This window comes from Homo sapiens, chromosome 1 (assembly GCF_000001405.40).
Source record: "Homo sapiens chromosome 1, GRCh38.p14 Primary Assembly".
Taxonomy (NCBI): domain Eukaryota; kingdom Metazoa; phylum Chordata; class Mammalia; order Primates; family Hominidae; genus Homo; species Homo sapiens.
In genome coordinates this window covers 93,140,139-93,162,789 of record NC_000001.11, presented here as the reverse complement: position 1 = coordinate 93,162,789, position 22,651 = coordinate 93,140,139, and the positions used below count along the sequence as shown (strand labels likewise).

General features: G+C 36.7%; 1 protein-coding gene across 4 annotated transcripts in view, besides 1 other annotated feature; it reads left to right on the top strand.

Annotated features, from left to right (window-relative positions):
- The window catches only part of TMED5 (transmembrane p24 trafficking protein 5), a 30,672-nt gene extending 17,624 nt beyond the window's left edge, over nt 1–13,048 (top strand). The window contains exons 2-5 of one of the 4 annotated variants that reach the window (NR_030761.2): nt 2,564–2,661; nt 3,905–3,975; nt 6,307–6,490; nt 7,902–13,048. Coding sequence is in view for 3 of the 4 variants with exons in the window: in NM_016040.5 (NP_057124.3) it covers nt 2,564–2,661; nt 6,307–6,490; nt 7,902–8,120 (501 nt within the window). In the remaining variant the exon portion in view is untranslated. Of the gene's footprint in view, nt 1–2,563; nt 2,662–3,904; nt 3,976–6,306; nt 6,533–6,705; nt 6,755–7,901 lie in introns of those variants that run through there. The other 3 variants (NM_001167830.2, NM_016040.5, NM_001410825.1) reach the window with 3 other exon arrangements.
- Nucleotides 16,041–16,241: a silencer, noted in NCBI's record as "peak321 fragment used in MPRA reporter construct". NCBI's record gives its function as "represses an SCP1 promoter by STARR-seq MPRAs in K562 erythroleukemia cells {active_cell/tissue: K562}" and the evidence as "EXISTENCE:reporter gene assay evidence [ECO:0000049][PMID:32103011]".

The following is a 22,651-nucleotide window of genomic DNA, read 5'->3' as shown; positions in this document are numbered from 1 at the left end:
GCAGTTCTCTACTACTTCTGCTACTTCTCTTTGATAGAAGATTGTACTTTTTAAATCCTTTGGAAAACTCCATATTTTATGGTCTTTTTTCATTTATCCTGCTTCACATTTATTAGATCCTTTCTGTCTGAAGATTTTCATCTTTTGAAACAGGAATTTTTCTTCTTTGTGGGTTTTTTGTTTTTGTTTGACGTGGAGTCTCACTCATTCTTTTGCCCAGGCTGAAGTACGGTGGCATGATCTCTGCTCACTGCAACCTCCGCCTCCTGGGTTCAAGCAGTTCTCCTGCCTCGGCTTCCCAAGTAGCTGGGATTACAGGTGTGTGCCACCATGGCTGGCTCATTTTTTTATTTTTAGTAGAGATGGGGTTTTGCCATGTTGGCCAGGCTGGTCTCAAACTCCTGACCTCAAGTGAACCACCCGCCTCGGCCTCCCAAAGTGCTGGGATTACAGGCATGAGCCACCGCACCCAGCCTATAGATTTTAATTGTTACATGTCTTCTTCATTTCATTGGGATTTAAAGAAGAAAATTATGTACATTTAGCCAGCCATTTGAAACCAGTTCTGTTGAACAATAAAAGCACAGGAGTAGGTAATTTTTTATATCATCACATTAAAACTACCATGAAAAATAAAATGGAGTGTTAAGAAAAAGAGTAGCCATTGAGTTAGGTTTTTTTTTTTTTCAGTTAAAAGGCTGTACTATATAGTGTTCCAAATAGATTCTTTTTAAAATTTTAGCAAACACTATAAATACAGAAGAGAAAACGCAGGGAAAGAGGAAGACAGGAAGAGAAGTTTGCAGACAGATCTACAGGGAAAACACTGAGACACTTTAATTTGTATAGGATGATAAAAAGATGCATTTATTAAATATTTGCATCTGTGACAAAAAATCAAAATATGGATAATAACATTGTTAGGACCAGTACCCTTGGAGTTATAAAAATAGTGAACAAAATTTTCATCCATCTTATCATCTATGTTGGATATGCCACATAGGTGTCCATAAAGGTACCTACAAGTTTATGCTAAGTGAATCCTACAAAAAGATGCTTAGATTCCAGAGAACGTCTCATAAGTGCCAAAGAGGATAGGTGTGCAATCTGTAGTAATACAAGAGAGAGTGTGAGAGAACTGGACAGGAGGATTCAGAGGAGATTTCAAAGGACTTGACCCATTTATGCAGGAGGTTGCAATTTTTTGAATTGCAAAATGAGACCTTGGCAATGACCTTGAGCAGTAGGATATAAATAACTCCTACATGCTTAGTGTTCCACTAATGGAACACAAGGCATAAATGGGTTAAACTGGCTCTTAAAGAATGAATACAATTGGATGAGTACCTATTCAGGAGAATGGAACAGAAATAGAGGCAACACAGCATACTTATTAAAAATTATTCTAGAGGCAGATTGCTGAGTTCAAATTTTGACCATGTCACTTATTTGCTGTATCACTTTGGTTTATTTTTTACTTATTTTTTTTAATGTGGCCTAGATGAATTAATGCTGTGTCACTTTGGAAAAATGATTTCTCTGTGCCTCAGTTTTTGTTGTTTTTTTACTAAAATGAGAATAATAGGACCTACCTTTTAGAGTTGTTATAAGGAATAAATTAATCCACATAAAGCATTTAAGACAATTTATGGCATCAACTATAATTGTTAGTTGCCATGATTATCATCATCATCTTCATAGAAGGACATTTTGGAATTACAAATGGATAGATTGTATTCATTGGCTAGTAAATGAACCGGCCTGCTTCGAATACACAATTCATACTGGGAAGTAGTAGAAGAATGTGTTGAAGTCAGTTGGAGTCCACACCATGGTGGTCTTGAATTCCAGGCTAAGAAACAGTTAATTATTATTCTTTTATTGAAGAGGAAACAAAAAAGTTATATACAATGTCTGAAATTGCCTAAGTCTTTTTTTGGGGGGGCAGGGGAGGCAGGGGGGGCGGGGTACCGAGTCTCACTGTCGCCCAGGCTGGAGTGCAGTGGCACAATCTCGGCTCACTGCAACGTCCACCTCCTGGGTTCAAGCGATTCTCCCGCCTCAGCCTCCTGAGTAGCTGGGATTTTTCTATTTTTAGTAGAGACAGGGTTACACCATGTTGGTCAGGCTGGTCTCGAACTCCTGACCTCATGATCCACCTGCCTCGGCCTCCCAAAGTGCTGGGATTACAGGCGTGAGCCACCGCGCCCTGCCAATTGCCTAAGTTTTAACTAAAACGCCCAGCATTTGAACTGCTCTTTGTGTTTCCGTCCATTCTACAGGGATTCTGAATGAAACCACTATTTTAGGAAGATTTATTTCAGTAATATCCATAAGGCCTAAATTTAGGTGATGGTGAGAGAAATGGGTAAGGAAGGGACAAGTTCCAAAAATGAATGGAATTGAACTAGATGATCTTTTGGTTCTTTTCTAGCTCAGACATCACTGATGACTTTCTTACCTCTCTAGCTTAGATAATCTTTACATCATATGATCTACTGTATATAATTTTTTATTTCCAGAATTTGTAATATATGTTTTTCTCATGTATGCTTTTCTACAGGTTTTAGATGGAGCAGGATTAGATATTGATTTCCATCTTGCCTCTCCAGAAGGCAAAACCTTAGTTTTTGAACAAAGAAAATCAGATGGAGTTCACACGTAAGTAATCTCTTTTAGTTGAGTTTCATTGCTGAATAATACCAGTGGGTTATCTGCAGGGCATGGAAAGTTAGCACATTTGATACTACATATCAATATTAGATAATTCCATATGATTTAAAACAGTTCATGATAGTGTGCCATCTGATAAACAAAAACATCTTCCATTAACCTTTCTATTTTTGTTTAAGCGTTTTCTTTTGATCCAGGCTAAATTTTTTCTGTGCTTTGGTTAGTAAATTAGTATTCCCCTGGTATTCCATTCAATCTATCGTGGCATTTTAAACCTGCCTTCTGGCCAGCACAAGCTTTCTATTTTAACTTAAAGCTACTGTTCCAGGTATATGTCTTAAAGTTTCTTGAGCTGCTGGCTATATGCCATTTTTGTCCATAGTTTTCTTTCTTAAAACAGGACAGTATATCTTTGTGTGTACGTAAATTTTTTTTTTTTATTCAGACCTCATTCGTTTTAGGTAATTAGAAGGCCTGAAAGTAAAAGATCTGATCATAGGGAACTATATAAAAATAAAATACTTGTTATAACTCTTTGAGTTCAGAGTTCAGCAAAAGACCATATATTCTTCTTCTGACACCTCACTTCCCTCTTTTCATATCTCACTGGTATGTTTCCTGGTTCCATTCTATTATCTTACTATAACATTTTCTTAAGTCAGTTTTGTTATATGTTTAAACTGTGAGTCTGTAGGAAGAAGAGCAAATATGGAGTATCTAGTATTTGCTATAAACAAGGGTTGGCATGTTATAGGCTTCTAAATTAATCTTTCCATTACACTATGAGATAGAGTCTTTGACTCAAGATTCCCATTTTATAGACAAGGAGGCTCAGAGAAGTCAAATAAGTCTCCAGGGATACACATGCAGGGTGGAGACAGGATGGACCAAAACTCTTTGCTTTCTACCATATGCTTAGAACATCCCTGGTACATAACACTATTGTAAGAACTAGCTATTATTAAAATTATTGGTCTTTGTTAACCAAAATGCCTGATACATAATCGATACTCAGTAAACACTGAATACATGTATGAATGGATGAGAGGAAAAAAATGTCTCAACAATAATTTTTTAAGATACTCATTTAAAATGCATTTTAAATGGCATTTTACCTATGCAGAGCTCAGAAAAATATTTGCATAAGCTATTACTAAATAAGATAGAAATAGTAATTTTAAAAGTCAGTTTATATTGATATACTTGGAATTAACTGTTTTCTCTTTGATAGGTGTATAAGAAGTAAAAATGGGCCAGGCACTGCGGTTCACGCCTATAATCCCAGCACTTTCCGAGGCCAAGGTGGGTGGATCACGAGGTCAAGAAATTGAGACCATCCTGGCCAACATGGTGAAACCTTGTCTCTACTAAAAATACAAAAATTAGCTGGTCATGGTGGCACACGCCTGTAGTCCCAGCTACTTGGGAGGCTGAGGCAGAATTGCTTGAACCCCGGAGGCGGAGGTTGCAGTGAGCTGAGATGGCGCCGCTGTACTCCAGCCTGGCGACAGAGACTCCATCTCAAAAAAAAAAACAAAACTAAAAATGTAGTTCATCTTTTAAGTTTCAGAATTTTAAAAATGTTCAAAATGTATGTCAGTCTTTATTTCTCCCCAATTATTTGCTCCCTTTTTGAGATAATAAAATTCACTGTTAGAAAAATAAGTATCTTACTGCTTCCTTGTGTAGAATTACCTCTCATTAAATAATTGGGAGAAAATAATTGAGTTTATAATAGTTCACATTTATTGCATTCTTTTGATATGCCAGGCCAGTGTTCTCAGCACTTTTCATGTACTAATTTTTTTATTCTTAACCACAGTCCTATGACGTAAATATTATTTTACCAATGGGGAAACTGAGGCATAGAACAATTAAGTTGCTGAAGGTTACACAGCTAGTGAACGGCAAAGCCAGGATATACATTCAGGCAGTCCAACTCACTATTAATCACTATACCAGATTTACAAATTTTTTTTTTTTTTTTTTTTTTTGAGACGGAGTCTCACTCTGTTGCCCAGCTGGAGTGCAGTGGCGCGATCTCGGCTCACTGCAAGCTCCGCCTCCTGGGTTCACGCCATTCTCCTGCCTCGGCCTCCTGAGTAGCTGGGACTACAGGCGCCCGCCACCACGCCCGGCTAATTTTTTGTCTTTTTAGTAGAGACGGGGTTTCACCGTGTTAGCCAGGATGGTCTGGATCTCCTGACCTCGTGATCTGCCTGCCTCGGCCTCCCAAAGTGCTGGGATTATAGGCGTGAGCCACTGTGCCCGGCCTACAAATCTGTTTTTTAAACATTAAACAAAGCTTTTATCTTTAGCTATATTAATTTTGTAAGAGCAGCAAACATCTGAGTATGTCACTGGTTTTTCTTAAGTAGGCTTTTTCTTTTTCTTTTAAATGTAATTTCTTTTTTAAAGACAAGGTCTCACTATGTTGCCCAGGCCAGAGTGCAATGGTGTGACCATAGCTTACTGCAGCCTAAAGTACTGGGCTCAACCAAGCCTCCCGAGTAGCTAGGACTACAGGTGTGTACTCGGCTAATTTTTTAATTTTTGTAGAGACAAGGTCTCACTTTTGCCCAGGCTAATCTCGAACCCCTGGCCTACAGTAATCCTGCCTCAGACTCCCAAAGCGCTGTGATTGTAGGTATGAGCCACCGCACCTGGCCCTGCTTTTAACTTTCGCTAATATGGGAAACTAATTTTAACTAGGGTACTGGTAATTCAGATATTATTCATTTTTTTCTTCAGCACTTGGCATAATTAATGATGGGCTGAATTACCTTTATAGAATTAAATAATAAAATATAAACTAGTTTTATTTAATTCTCAAAAAAAGCATTTAGGATCAAACATAAACATCTATAAGGGAGCCAGTGGCAGTTAATAGGCAAAATCAGTAAGAGGCCTGGAAGAAGACATTTAGGACAATCCATCACTGCTTTTGAAAACAAAACTCAGTTTAATCTCAGTTGTAGGGTAGGTTGGCAGTCATATCTGCATATGAATTGAACTCATGATAAAATACTTTTAATAATGTATAAATATTAAAGTTTATTATGAGTTATGTATACAGGTTTTTAATTCTATCCTTTTCCAAAAATGAGGTCACTAACCATAATTTACTGAGTAAATGCCAAACATGTCTAAGTTGTACTTGAACATATATATTTTCAGGTTGCTTCTTTCCCAAGAAATTATAAATTATCTTTCAATACTAAGGAAATTTATGGGTAAGCTGTCCAATTACTATAAACTATGTTATTTGTTTTTTGTTTTGTTGGTTTCTTTTTTTTTTTTTTTTTTTTTGAGACAGGATCTTGCTCTGTTGCCCAGGCTGGAGTGCAGTGGCATGATCATGCCTCACTGCATCTTCAACCTTCCGGGCTCAAGCAATCCTCACACTCTGCTAATTTTTGTTATTTTTTTGTAGAGACAGGATTTTGCCATGTTACCCAGGCTGGTCTCAAACTCCTGAGCTAAAGTGATCTACCAGCCTTGCCCTCTCAAAATGCTGGGATTACAGGTGTGAGGCAACACACTCAGCCTGTTACTTCTTATTTTTACCTTTAGTTGCTTTTCATCACAAATAGAAATACAGGTAACTTAAAACATGTACTTTTTTTTATACAGTGTAGAGACTGAAGTTGGTGATTACATGTTCTGCTTTGACAATACATTCAGCACCATTTCTGAGAAGGTGATTTTCTTTGAATTAATCCTGGATAATATGGGAGAACAGGCACAAGAACAAGAAGATTGGAAGAAATATATTACTGGCACAGATATATTGGATATGAAACTGGAAGACATCCTGGTCAGTATGGTCTTCTAATAAAATAAAAATTATTAACAGCCAGAGGCCTTACTATGGTAATAAGTTACTGAACTAAGCATTTTATCTGCATTATCCAGGAAAATCTGTTTCTAATATTTTATTTTTGCCATAAATACTTTGACCTCAAGTATCAGCTTAATTTTATTTTATATTAATATAGCCCTTTTATAGTTTTCAAATAACTTATCTTCCAGGACCCTATTATAAAAATAGCTTCAGATGTGCAAATAAGACTGCATCTTGGTAAGTTTGTTTTATAAATGTGCAGTTAGAATTTTTAAATTATAAATAGATTATGCTTCTGATTATACAGCAGGCATATGAAAAGTAAAATGTTTTCTAATTTCACAACTATTTTGTGGTATTAAAACATTGGGTGTTTTACTGAATACTAAATTGTTCAGATAAACATACAAAGAAGGAAATATTATAAACACATGCATTATGTAATAGGTAAATACCTAAAGTTATATCAATTGGGTTTTTAAAAATGAAATCATTTGCCAGGCATGGTAGCAGGTACCTGTAATCCCAGCTACTCAGAAGGTTAGGGGGAGGATCATTTGAGCCCAGTTCAAGGCTGCAGTGAACCATGGTCACACATATAAATAGATACTACACTCCAATATAGCAAGACCCCATCTCTAAAAACTTAATCATTTGACCAGGCACAGTCTCAGGTTGCAATGAGCCGAGATTGTGCCTAGGCAAACTCCATCCCCCGACAAAAAAAAAAAAAAAAAAAACCTTAGTCATTTCCTTTGGTTGTGTGAGGACTAAGAAAGAGATAATGTACGTAAAACTCCTGATGCTATGCCACTCAGAATAATTTCATGTTACCTATTTTCAATTCACAGTAGCTTTGTTCCCTTGTTAAATAACTACTTATAAACAATATAAATATGTCAGGAGAACTATTATATAACCTTACAGAGAATCTCTAATGTAATATAAATAGTACCTGCCCTTTAATTGAATTGTGCAGCCATCTAACTTAAAATTGTGTTTGGATAAAAAACATAAAGCATATTTTGAAAAAAACTTTTTTTGAGACAGGGTCTCACTCACTCTGTTGCCCAGGCTGGAGTGCAGTGGCACCATTATGGCTCATTGCAATCTCAACCTCCTGGACTCAAGTGATCCCCCCACCTCAGCCTCCCAAGTAGCTGGGACCACACTTGGTGCTACCATACCCATCTTTTTGTAGAGGCAGAGTCTGTCTGTGTTGTCCAGCCCAGTCTTGAACTCCTGGGTTCAAGGGGTCCTCCTGCCCTAGTCTCCCAAAGTTCCAGGATTACAAGGCATGAGTCACTGCACCCAGCCTCATTTTTTAATTAAGTTAAAATTTCTGAGCATTCTTTAATAATAAAATTATTTTATTTATCTCCAGGAATCCATCAACAGCATCAAGTCCAGACTAAGCAAAAGTGGGCACATACAAACTCTGCTTAGAGCATTTGAAGCTCGTGATCGAAACATACAAGAAAGCAACTTTGATAGAGTCAATTTCTGGTCTATGGTTAATTTAGTGGTCATGGTGGTGGTGTCAGCCATTCAAGTTTATATGCTGAAGAGTCTGTTTGAAGATAAGAGGAAAAGTAGAACTTAAAACTCCAAACTAGAGTACGTAACATTGAAAAATGAGGCATAAAAATGCAATAAACTGTTACAGTCAAGACCATTAATGGTCTTCTCCAAAATATTTTGAGATATAAAAGTAGGAAACAGGTATAATTTTAATGTGAAAATTAAGTCTTCACTTTCTGTGCAAGTAATCCTGCTGATCCAGTTGTACTTAAGTGTGTAACAGGAATATTTTGCAGAATATAGGTTTAACTGAATGAAGCCATATTAATAACTGCATTTTCCTAACTTTGAAAAATTTTGCAAATGTCTTAGGTGATTTAAATAAATGAGTATTGGGCCTAATTGCAACACCAGTCTGTTTTTAACAGGTTCTATTACCCAGAACTTTTTTGTAAATGCGGCAGTTACAAATTAACTGTGGAAGTTTTCAGTTTTAAGTTATAAATCACCTGAGAATTACCTAATGATGGATTGAATAAATCTTTAGACTACAAAAGCCCAACTTTTCTCTATTTACATATGCATCTCTCCTATAATGTAAATAGAATAATAGCTTTGAAATACAATTAGGTTTTTGAGATTTTTATAACCAAATACATTTCAGTGTAACATATTAGCAGAAAGCATTAGTCTTTGTACTTTGCTTACATTCCCAAAAGCTGACATTTTCACGATTCTTAAAAACACAAAGTTACACTTACTAAAATTAGGACATGTTTTCTCTTTGAAATGAAGAATATAGTTTAAAAGCTTCCTCCTCCATAGGGACACATTTTCTCTAACCCTTAACTAAAGTGTAGGATTTTAAAATTAAATGTGAGGTAAAATAAGTTTATTTTTAATAGTATCTGTCAAGTTAATATCTGTCAACAGTTAATAATCATGTTATGTTAATTTTAACATGATTGCTGACTTGGATAATTCATTATTACCAGCAGTTATGAAGGAAATATTGCTAAAATGATCTGGGCCTACCATAAATAAATATCTCCTTTTCTGAGCTCTAAGAATTATCAGAAACAGGAAAGAATTTAGAAAAACTTGAGAAAACCTAATCCAAAATAAAATTCACTTAAGTAGAACTATAAATAAATATCTAGAATCTGACTGGCTCATCATGACATCCTACTCATAACATAAATCAAAGGAGATGATTAATTTCCAGTTAGCTGGAAGAAACTTTGGCTGTAGGTTTTTATTTTCTACAAGAATTCTGGTTTGAATTATTTTTGTAAGCAGGTACATTTTATAAAATGTAAGCCCTACTGTAAGGTTTAGCACTGGGTGTACATATTTATTAAAAATTTTTATTATAACAACTTTTATTAAAATGGCCTTTCTGAACACTTTATTTATTGATGTTGAAGTAAGGATTAGAAACATAGACTCCCAAGTTTTAAACACCTAAATGTGAATAACCCATATATACAACAAAGTTTCTGCCATCTAGCTTTTTGAAGTCTATGGGGGTCTTACTCAAGTACTAGTAATTTAACTTCATCATGAATGAACTATAATTTTTAAGTTATGCCCATTTATAACGTTGTTTATGACTACATTGTGAGTTAGAAACAAACTTAAAATTTGGGGTATAGAACCCCTCAACAGGTTAGTAATGCTGGAATTCTTGATGAGCAATAATGATAACCAGAGAGTGATTTCATTTACACTCATAGTAGTATAAAAAGAGATACATTTCCCTCTTAGGCCCCTGGGAGAAGAGCAGCTTAGATTTCCCTACTGGCAAGGTTTTTAAAAATGAGGTAAATGCCGTATATGATCAATTACCTTAATTGGCCAAGAAAATGCTTCAGGTGTCTAGGGGTATCCTCTGCAACACTTGCAGAACAAAGGTCAATAAGATCCTTGCCTATGAATACCCCTCCCTTTTGCGCTGTTAAATTTGCAATGAGAAGCAAATTTACAGTACCATAACTAATAAAGCAGGGTACAGATATAAACTACTGCATCTTTTCTATAAAACTGTGATTAAGAATTCTACCTCTCCTGTATGGCTGTTACTGTACTGTACTCTCTGACTCCTTACCTAACAATGAATTTGTTACATAATCTTCTACATGTATGATTTGTGCCACTGATCTTAAACCTATGATTCAGTAACTTCTTACCATATAAAAACGATAATTGCTTTATTTGGAAAAGAATTTAGGAATACTAAGGACAATTATTTTTATAGACAAAGTAAAAAGACAGATATTTAAGAGGCATAACCAAAAAAGCAAAACTTGTAAACAGAGTAAAAATCTTTAATATTTCTAAAGACATACTGTTTATCTGCTTCATATGCTTTTTTTAATTTCACTATTCCATTTCTAAATTAAAGTTATGCTAAATTGAGTAAGCTGTTTATCACTTAACAGCTCATTTTGTCTTTTTCAATATACAAATTTTAAAAATACTACAATATTTAACTAAGGCCCAACCGATTTCCATAATGTAGCAGTTACCGTGTTCACCTCACACTAAGGCCTAGAGTTTGCTCTGATATGCATTTGGATGATTAATGTTATGCTGTTCTTTCATGTGAATGTCAAGACATGGAGGGTGTTTGTAATTTTATGGTAAAATTAATCCTTCTTACACATAATGGTGTCTTAAAATTGACAAAAAATGAGCACTTACAATTGTATGTCTCCTCAAATGAAAATTCTTTATCTGAAATTTTAAAAGACATTGATTCCACATGTAAGGATTTTTCATCTGAAGTACAATAATGCACAATCAGTGTTGCTCAAACTGCTTTATACTTATAAACAGCCATCTTAAATAAGCAACGTATTGTGAGTACTGATATGTATATAATAAAAATTATCAAAGAAAATTAACTGCCAGTCATTTGTAAATGCTGTCTACTCCTGAAAGCCTTCCTTCATCTCTATTTAGTTAATAATGTGCTCTCTCCTCCTGTTTTGAAACCCCATAGCTCTCTACACCTCTTATTGTACATCACTCTACTTTGCATTGGAGTTCTGTTTCTATATGTACTTATTCACCTGTTGCCTAAACATGCACTGTTCCTAAAAGGTACAGTTTTTGCTCAAAATATATGAAAGGAAAGATAATCAGTTCTTAAAGTTTGGTATGCTAAATAAGCACCCAGGGAACTTACCTGCTCCACCTCACCCCAGAAATTGATTATTCAGGTCTGGAATATGGCTCAGGATTCTTAATTTTCAACCAACACAATATAGAATCCTGTCAGTTATCCTTGGATCATTTGCTAAGTGATCTTGCAAAATCAAAACTCCTTTGAGACTATTTCATTTTCAGAAATATTTTAAAACTTGTTCAGAAACATCTTAAAACTTGTTAGCATATAGGAAAAGTACAATGCTTGGTGTAGGTAGGTTATTATTTGGTCATTTCCCTCAAACCATCCAGACAAGCCACTCTTCTACCACAAGCTGGTAGAAATCCTTAGGCACCTTTCTGCTTCTGCACTGCTATCACTTTCAGGTGTCTAAGGCTTCTGGAAGGCTGTTGTCATAACCTGGAGCCATACACCTAATGTACGTCTGGGGAAAGGACACCAATTAAAGAATCTAGAGCTAGGATGATGTTACATAAGACAGGGCACAATGGAGATGGACTCTGGATCCCTGCATCTGAAAGAAAAAGGCAAGAAAATGCAGGGCAGGGAAAATCCTGAAGGTCTTCACTGACCATGAATTAAAATCCTAATTGACAGTTTTACAAACAAAAACCCTCGTTTTAGTACTTGTGTTGTTTTTGTTTCTGTTTTAACAAGCTTAGATTTATTATTGTGCCTTTTATGGAAGATGAGGAAGAAATAGGAAAGCAGTAAAATGAACAATGAGAATCTGTTACCCAAACTGATATAAACTCCCTCAGAAAGAAAGATACTACTCCCTAATCCTGGAAGTGTTAAGTGGCAATAATGATCAAATGTTGTAAAGGGGATTGTTACTACAGCTAATATGAAATGGGAGGCTGGACTAAATCTAACCTTTCTACCCTTGATTTCAATTCTAAAAGGACACGTAATACCATTGCAGAAAGAAAAGACAGTTCCAAATGATAAATTTTAGAGTTGTTTTGCTAGGATGCAAGAGAAATTGGATAAGTGGACCACTCATACGTTGCTGGTGAGATATGAAATAGTAGAGCCACTGTGGAAAATATTCTTGGCAGTTTCTTATAAAACTAAACATACATTTAACATATAACTGGCATTTGTACTACTTGACAGTTATCCCTGAGAAGTTAAAACTTAACATTCACAAATGTTACATAGCACCTTCATTTATAATAGCCAAAACCCGGAAACAACCTGGATGTCCTTCAAAAAGAGTGAATGGTTTAGTATGTCCACACCATGGAATACTAAATAGTAATATGAAGGAACAAACTACTGATACATGTAACAAATTGCATGGACCTCAAGGGAATTATGCTTGGGTGGTTTGGGGGGACAATCCTAAAGTTTTACACACTGTATGATTCTGTTTTTGTAACATTCTTAAATAATAAAGCTATAGAGATGGGAAACAAGATTCGTGGTTGCCAGGTCTTGGGACTGAAGGGAAGGAGAATGTGGCTATAAAGGGAGCCTTGTGGTGGAAAAGTTCTGTAGTTTGATTGTGGTGATTACATAAATATACATGTGAAATGTTAGAAGTATTTATAGCTGAAACATATTAGTATGTTGGTATATACATATTTCTGACTAATTAATTTCGCCATGTTGCCCAGGCTGGTCTCGAACTCCTAAGCTCAAGTGATGTGCCCGCCTCAACTTCCCAAGTGCTGAGATTACAGGCGTGAGCCACCATGTCCGGCCTGTTTTTTCCTATGCATGCATAATTACGATCAAGTTTAATTTGTAATTAGGCACATTAAGAGATTAACAATAGCTAACAAAATGGAACAATTACAACAATATATTGTAATAAAAGTTATGCAAATGTGGTTTCTCTCTCTCAAAATATCTTGTACTCACCCTTGTGAGGCTGTGAGATGTCATACAATGCCTACATGAAGAGATGAAATGAGGTGACTGATGTAGGTATAAGTGATGTAGTTAGGCTACATTATCATCAAAATAACTTCGGGTAATCCTGGATCACTGAGCCAAGGTAATGTTGATGGTTAAGGAGCAGACAATGTTGATGGTTGGGGATCCTCAATAGGTGAAGGATTTCTATTTTGGGGTCTTTTTGCTGAAAAATTTTGGAAGAACACTGTAACCAGAAGTTGTTGACTCTTCAGCTCATCGAAGTGTTGCTGCAGAGACTGTAATCCTTTGGTGATCATATTGGTAACTTTAATGCTGTGTCTCATCTGAGGATCGTATTCTATAATTCTGTTGTTTAATGTCTGTGCAATTCAAAACACTTCGGCAAGTTTAATTAATGTCTATGTTGGCTATTCTGCTTCAGTTTTTTTAATCTTCCTCTCCCTCTGCAGATGACTCAAAAATTTCTTCCAATTCCTCATTTGTTAACACTTCGTGATGGCCTTTGATATGCTCTTCATCAAGCACATCAGCAAATCCTTCACAAGTTCTGTGAAGGATTGTCTTGTCTTGCTACATGATTTAAACTTGCCATGGGTCCCTAGGAAGCCTTTAAATCATATATATAATTCCACATTCTTCCAGCAGGTATTTACCTGTTTCTGGTTTTAATTCATCCACTGCAGCTTTGATGAATGTTATCACATGAGCAATAGTGAATGATATCCAGCACTGCATTATATACGTATTAGGGTCTGCAGCAATTGCTGACCAAATGTGTTCAAATATCAGGCAGTTGTATGTGGCCCTGACAAACCGAATGATGCCCTGTTCAGGGACTGAAGCAGTGAGGTTTTATCTGGAGGTAAAAATACCACCTCAACATTTTCATTTTCATAGCAGACAGATTCATGTATTGTCCATTATTAATACTTTAAATTCTAACCCTTTCTCTTTCAAGTATTTTTGCACTTCTGGGATGAAGCACTGGTGGAACCATTCCATAAAAATGGCTGTCACCCACACTGATTATGTTGCCAAGACACATAATATTTTGTTTTGTTTTCGAGATCATGTAGGTTCTTCACTCTATACACTACACCTCGCTTTATCATATGCCCTGCAGCAATGCCATATAGTACCAGAGTTAATCTGTTCTTCCATGCTGTATGCCCTGATACCGCCGCATTTGCACTTTTATGAATCTAAGTTCTATTGGGCATCTTCTCCCAGAAGAGCCTGATGTCACTGCAATTGAAGACTTGCTTTGAATGGTATCCTTGCTCCTTAACTTCAACTCTGCCGGAAATGAGGCAGCAGCTTCTTCATCAACAGACACAGCCTCTTCAGTAATTCTTAAATACTTCAGTCCAAACCCATTCCTGAATCTGTGTAACCATCCCTTATTTGCAGCAAATGGCTTGGTATCACTCATTTCAGGAGATCCCTTGCTGAATGTTTGTATAGGCTCAGTGCTTTCGCGGCAACACCCTGACGTCAGCTGGAACACATTTCTTTCTGTTCGTGTCTTCCACCCACAAATTTAACCCATTTATACCGGAGGTTGCAAAATCTGTGAAAAATCAGACCTTGGCAATGACCTTGAGCAGCAGGATATAAATAACTCTCACAAGCTTAACGTTCCAATAATAAAACACTAGGCATAAATGGGCTAATGCCTTTTTCATCTTAAAACTAGCACGAATGTTTTTTCTTCACAATTTCATGAAGATCTGTTCTTACCTTAGATCTTACCAATCTCTGCATATAATTTTCTTCTCAAGTACTTTCACCTTTTCAGTTTATGACTTAATGACTTATCTTTGGCATATCCAATTGCCATCATCTCTACACTTATACCTTGGGGCCACAATAAAGTAAAATAAGGGTTACCTGAACACAAGCACTACAATACTGCAATAGTTGATAGGATAACCAAGATTATTAAGTGTCTAATGGTAGGTAGCATATACAGCATGGATAGGCTGGACAAGGGGATGACTCTTGTGTGAGATTTCATTACGCTACTCAGAATGGCATGCAACTTAACACTTGAATCCACAGACAAGAGGTGACTACTGTAATGTCTTTGAAAATGCTAGGCCCTCAAATATTGAGTGACACGCTCATTCTTGACTCCAGGCCTTATTCTGCTCCTTCATGTTGAAACTAGATTTTCTCTTATGTAGCCTCTATTCAAGCTAACCCATCCTTCAAGGTAAAACCTAACAAATATTGCAGTCCAGATCAATCTCATTTCTCCAGCAATACAGCACATATTTTGATACCTGTAGTCATCTACTGTTTTCAAATGTTACTTAACAATTACGCTTATGTCCTAACTCTCCAAGACTGTACTATTATACTATAAACAATACTTTCACCACCACCCCCCCAAATTCCACCTCCTTGATTTTATGCTATAAAATACACTATCCTATTTTTGCCAGTTAAGATCCTATCATCCTTCAAAGCCTAATTCAAATAGAATTAATTCCCTTTCAATAAGTCTTTCCCTTGGTATCTTTCTTAGGCTTACTCTAAATGTCAATGGAACTTTGTACCGATACTCCATAGTAATTATCAATTTCAACTCAAATTTAGTTTATTTATGTCTATCTTCCATAATTTAAGAACTCAGAGGCAGGCTCCTAATCTTTCCTCTATCTCTTCACAGCAACTCATAGGCATTCAAAACATGATTGCTGAATTTGAATAAACACTTAATACAACCACACAGAATTTTACATCTCAACCACTTTCAGAAAAACTAAAGCATAAAAGAAAAAATCCTGTAATACTATAGTGAGTTGACTTGTGTCCCCCCGAAAAAGATATATCCAAGTCCTAACTCCCAGTATCTGTCATCGTAACCTTATTTGGAAACAGGGTCTTTGCACATGTAATTAAATATCTCCAGATAAGATCACCCTGCATTTAGAATGGGCCCCAAATCCAATGACTGTTGCCCTATAAGAAAAGGAGAGGAAGATTGGAAATAGGGGAATGCCTCATAAAGATGGAGGCAGAAATTGGACTTATATGTCCAAGAATTACCAGCTGCAACCAGAAACAATAACAGGCATGGAAGGGATTCTCCCTCAGAGTATCCAGAAGGAACCAACCTTGACACAAACTCAGTTTTAGACTTCTAGCCTCTAGAACTCTGACGAACTGCTGCTATTTTATGCTGCCAAGTTTTTGGCAACTTGTAGCAGCTCTAGGAAATTAAAACAAAGGCCTCAATAGCAGAGCCCCAGAAAAAATTTTTTAGAAATAATAGCAATAATGAAGTTAAGAAATAAACATTTCTGAGTTTTATTTAATGAAAACCATACTTTGCCTGTACTTATGATGAACAGGATTTTGATTATAAAGCAGTGACTCATTTTATGTTGTTCAGCGCAACCTCTTAAAATGTCTTGTGTTAAAAGTATATTTTTAAAATGTTAAACCAAAGCTTTTACCACATTGACTATTCTCTCTCTCTTGCTGTGTGTACGTACACACACACACACACACACACAAACACTTTTTTTTTGAGACAGAGTCTCATTCTGTCATCCAGGCTGGAGTGCAGTGGCGTGGCCTCTGCACACTACAGCCTCCACCTCCCAGGCTCAAGTGATCCTCCCACTACATCCTCCCAAGTAGCTGGGACTACGTGTGCCACCATCCCCAGCTGATTTTTGCATTTTTTGTAGAGATGGGTTTTCCATGTTGCCCGAGGCCGGTCTCAAACTCCTGGGCTCAAGTGATCCACCCACCTTGGCCTCCCAAACTGCTGGGACTACAGGCATGAGCCACCGAGTCCGGCCTAGACAATAATTTTTAAAATTCATGCAATTTCTAAAGAGAATGATCCTAATTAAGTTCTATGTTATGATGGTTATTTTCAGTACAATCTACGTCTTTTTTAATTTTTTCTGAGACGGAGTCTTGCTCCGTCGCCCAGGCTGGAGTGCACTGGTGCGATCTCGGCTCACTGCAAACTCCGCCTCCCGGATTCATGCCATTCTCCTGCCTCAGCCTCCCGAGTAGCTGGGACTACAGGCACCTGCCACCACACCAGGCTACTTTTTTTGTCTTTTTAGTAGAGACGGGGTTTCACTGTGTTAGCCAGGATGGTCTTGATCTCCTAACCTCGTGATCCGCCTGCCTCGGCCTCCCAAAGTGCTGGGATTACAGGCGTGAGCCACAGCGCCCAGCCCAATCTATGTCTTAATGTTCTTAATGGTGAGGTTACACATTTTGGACATTAATACTAGATACGGCCTTATATTTTGCTTATTCTCTATAAAGAATTTTAGGCCAGGCACGGTGTCTGACGCCTGTAACCCCAGCACTTTGGGAGGCTGAGGCCGGCAGATCACGAGGTCAGGAGATTGAGACCATCCTAGCTAACACGGTGAAACCCCGTCACTGCTAAAACTACAAAAACAAATTACCAGGCGTGGTGGCATGCGCCTGTAGTCCCAGCTACTGGGGAGGCTGAGGCAGGAGAATCACTTGAACCAGGGAGGCTGGGGTTGCAGTGAGCCAAGATCACACCACTGCACTCCACTGGGAAACAAAGCAAGACTCCTTCTCAAAAAATTTAATCCAGTTCTTCCCTTTACCTTTATGCTTTATTTCTAAGTTATCCAGCTTGGGCTTTTTTAAGTCAGAGTATGCTAAAGGAATTACAAAAATAATTGCCATGAGCTTAAACCAAAAATGTAGACCTCAAATTCCAAATATAAATGATTGTTTTGTTAATTCTGCTTTTCTATGAAAACTAGCATCTTCAAGTAGCAGATAAAATTTGATTATAACAAACAACATATAGGTTCTTTAGAAAGTGTCCCAAAATAAATGTAAATTACATTTAAAACCACTTGAAGCTGGGCACAGTGGCTCAGGCCTGTAATCCCAGTGCTTTGGGAGGCCAAGGCGGGTGGATCACTTGAGGCCAGGAGTTCAAGATCAGCCTGGCCAACACAGCAAAACCCTGTCTCTACTAAAAACACACACAAAAAATGGCCAGGTGCGGTGGCTCACGCCTGTAATCCCAGCACTTTCAGAGGCCGAGGTGGGCGGATTACCTGAGGTCAGGAGTTCAAGACCAGCCTGGCCAACATGGTGAAATCCCATCTCTACTAAAAATATAAAAAATCATCCAGGTGTGGTGGCGGGTGCCTGTAATCCCAGCTACTCAGGGGGCTGAGGCCGGAGAAGCACTTGAACCCAGGAGGTGGAGGTTGCAGTGAGCCAAGGTTGTGCCACTGTACTCTACCCTGGGCAACAAAGCAAGACTCCATCTCAAAAAAAAAAATATATATATATATATTAGCTGGGCATGGCGGTGCACACCTGTAATCCCAGTTACTCAGGAGGCTGAGGCACAAGAATTGCTCAAACCCAGGAGACGAAGGTTGTAGTGAGCCAAGCTCGTGCCACTGCACTCCAGCCTGAGCAACAGAACAAGACTGTCTCGAAAAAAAAAAAAAAAGAAAAGAGAAAAAAGAAAATCCAATCCAAGCTACTTTTAACCATAGAGGGCTTGAATTAGAAAATTAAATATACATATAACTACCTTTAAAAACACTAAAGGCTGAGAACACTGCTTTCAAGAAACTGCTAAGTAGGTCCAAGGTTAATATTTAATATTATTCAAAGAGTTGCCACATGTAAAAACCGAAATCGCACCACTGCACTCCGGCCTGGGTGACAGAGCGAGACCATCTCTAAATAAATAAATAAATAAATAAATAAATAAATAAGTGCACTTAAGTCTCAAGTACTTTTTAAGTCCTTAGTTTTAAAATATTTTCAAATTTTTGAAAATTATTTCAAAAATATAGAGAGTGACCCTACTAAAACCAATTAAATTCTACCTTCCATATAAAAGCAAACCAGTACAGGTAACTTAATTTTACATATTTAGTTATTTACCCAAGATCATGAAACAAATCAAATTTAATAAATATTACTTGAATTTGGTAAAACAATTATCTTAGAAATTAATTATAATTCTTTGAAGCTTGACATTCTTAGTTGTAGATAAACAATTTCAGCACTTAAAGGACTAAAAAGTTAAGCAAATTACTAATATCAATTATTGTATCCATTTAACCTATAAAGTAGTAGGAATTAATATTGAATTGCTACTCTAATAACATCTCCATTCTATTCCTTTGGGCCTCTTTTATGCCTATTAAATATATACATGAAACAAAACCATGTCATGGCAATTTGCTGTTCTCTAAAATAGTACTATTCTTATCTGGCAAGTCCCTACTAGGCAAAACACTGTTTTTTCTTTCTCATAACAACACACAGCATACATGAGCCAACACTAGCAGTACTCTTACACTACCTCTCAGTTGACAGAAAACCACGGTGCTGTTTGGCCAGGCAGTTTGTGTCTGGACATGTGTTAAGGAAATGTGAAGACCAATTAGAGAGCTACAAAATAATCAACTTACTCTAGCCTACATTATAGTCACAGCTTAATTATCCAGCAGCCACATTTCTAAATATCTCAACCACTTATATTTCATAAAGTAGAAAGCAAGAATAACAAACTGAAAAAAATATCTTTCCAGTGGTGAACAATATTTTTAAGCCATTTACATTTTTTCAGAAGTAAATCACTCTCAAACCCTCATAGTCTAAAAAATCAGAACTGTGGTTTGTAAAAGGTTTGAACTTTATTCATGTGATTACTTGTCCCAGAAAGCCTTAATTCTTTCCAGCCTGTAACAAATTAATTAATAATGTTCAGAAGCTATGTGGGAGAGTAGAAAGCTGCTCAGTGCACTATGAATAAATAAACATGGATTATTAACATAGGGATTCCAACAGAAGATATGTGAAAAGCAGAAAAATATAAAAGCACCACCTAGCCTAAGTCATTAAGTGTTAAGGGTAAGATTCCCCCACCTACATCCAGATTCCCGTGAGTAGCACAACATGTTATAGCAATGAACAATAATGAATCTTCATAATCTCTCAGTAGAAAGGTAGGAAAGGTTAGTATGTTATAAAAATGGTGTTTTTAAAAGCATGAAATATTTAATACCTTCTAGGAAATGCTTCAACGAAAAGGTATTTTCAATGTTTCTGGTCTTCAGATGGTTTAAAAGTTGCTTACAGAACAAACTATAGTTTATAAAGAATGGGTCTCTAATGACACAATTCTTCATTGGAAAATTCATAGCAAGTTAAAATAACACAAAATATCCAAGATAGAAGGTTATGCAAAATTACAATAAACCTTTTAAAAATCAACAGACCTGTTACAGAATACGCTCTTGGATTCTGGCAGGAACTTGGTGACAAAGGGATACAGAAACCAAAACCATGCTTCCACAAGTCTTTGATGAACCCACAGGCTTTCCCTTCCAAAACTCTTTCCAACAAGCTTCATTTCCTTAAGCTTCCATGTCTCCTCAAGCAAAAAAGCTAATATTCAAGGATACCTCTCACAAAATCTCTTATCGGCTTATTGTCATCCCAAATTCTGTATACAAAAAAAAACCCTTACATTTTACAATATTAATGACAACATATTCAAGTGCCACTTATTGATTAAAACACTAATTATAATCTGTCACTAAGGATACATTACTAATCCAGGATGCTATTAACTTACTTGACTTAAATTTATAACATTTTATAATGTATCAAATTACACATGTAAATTAGCAACTCATATAAATTCAGAAAAGCAATGCAACCAATTTTAAAAAAATCATTCAAAAATCCTATTTTCTAGCAAAAGTAAAACATTTGAAAAAAATTAATTTCTTTTTTTTTTTTAATTTTTTTCAGAGACAGGGTCTCACTCTGTCACCCAGGCTGGAATGCAATAGCATGATCATAGCTTGCTGCAGCCTTGAACTCCTGGGCTCAAGCAATCCTCCCGCCTTAGCTTCCCAAGTAGCTAGGACTACAGGCATGCACCACCATGCCTGGCTAATTTGAAAACTGTTTTGTAGAAACAGAGTCTCACTATGTTGTCCAGGATAGTCTTGAACTCTTGGTTTCAAGTGATCCTCCCACTTTGGCCTCCCAAAGTGCTGGGATTACAAATATGAGCCACTGTGCCTGGCCAATTAATTTCTTAAACTATTATTGGTGAGCTTACTTTTAACTTCTGCTTGATATGAAAAAATTACTTTTAACTAGCTGCTAGAGATTCATTCAGATATTGTCAACATTTTTTCTTTTTAGCATTTGACATTTAATGATGGGGTAAATAACCTTGGTTAGAATTAAAATAATAAAATACAAACTAATTTTATTTAATTATTCAAGCCCAGGCCATACATAAAAGCACTGAGGATCAAACATAAATATCCACAAGGGTGCCAGTGACAGCCAACAGGCATGTGCAAACCACCTCTCACAATACGTTTTAAAGATCAAGCAGTCTTTCAAAGCACAGTCATCCATTTGCCGTGGTTTTGTAGCACTGATATTATACATATTTTATATATAGTTCCATTAACTGAATGTCAAAGCTGCCTGTGTGACACCTAAGAAAATTCAGTGAGAGCAATACTAAGACATAAAGATTTTTGTTGGATGGGTTGGACTTTGGAGGGCCACGGACCATTATCTAAGGTTTTTTGTCCCCTCCCCAAACAAATTTTTGCCCATTTATGGATGTGATCACCCACACTGGGAATACATGTCATAGGGTTAGGAGAAAAAATGGATTAGACGCCTTTTAGTAAATACAAAGAATAGAAAACAGACTGATTTCCGAGCAGGATATATTTTTATCCAAAAATATATTTTATCATCTGTGAAAGTTAAAATGGTTTGTTTGTTTCCTTGCCTAAATCCAGGGAAAGGTATCTTGAATGACACATCACATTTTCTGAAGATGCAGGACAAATAAAAAGTTACTAAGAATACAGTTTATACACTTATCATCTCCAACAAAGAGAAAACCGCCAGGGGAGCTAGCAAAGAGGGATTTTGTTGAGCAGAAATGAGAGGAGGGAAGAGGAAAAAAGCATAATATTTCAATGTAGCTATTACTCCAAGACATTTTTGTAAAAGTTACAAATATTGTACCTGGAGCCCATCTACTTGTTTTACAGAGAACCTATTAGTTTGCTTTCATAGCTTCTTCCATCTCCAAATGTGTATCAGACAGACGTCTGGTTTTCTAACTGCTGCCAATTAGAAAAGAATCCATAATCAGATAAAGTTCTTACCTTACATTTCACTGTCCAGTTTTTATTTTCCTGAACATGACTGATCAACTGCCACAGAAAAAAAACCAAAGGGGACTGTGATGTGTACATTCATTGAGGTACTCAAATATAACTAAGAAAAATCTCCCCACAAAAACAGGGCTTAAAAAAACAAAAAAACAAAACTGTTTCCCAACGCTGCATGAGCATCTTCTTTGTCATCACATCCTCATTCAAACAACTCTAGAACCACAATGTAAAACAGTCTGGTAGAACTGCCTAAGTCAGATCATATTCCAACCAAAATTTAATAGTACCTAGTAGAAACTCAATAAAGTGGCCCAAAACAGTTAGTTCTACCCCCAA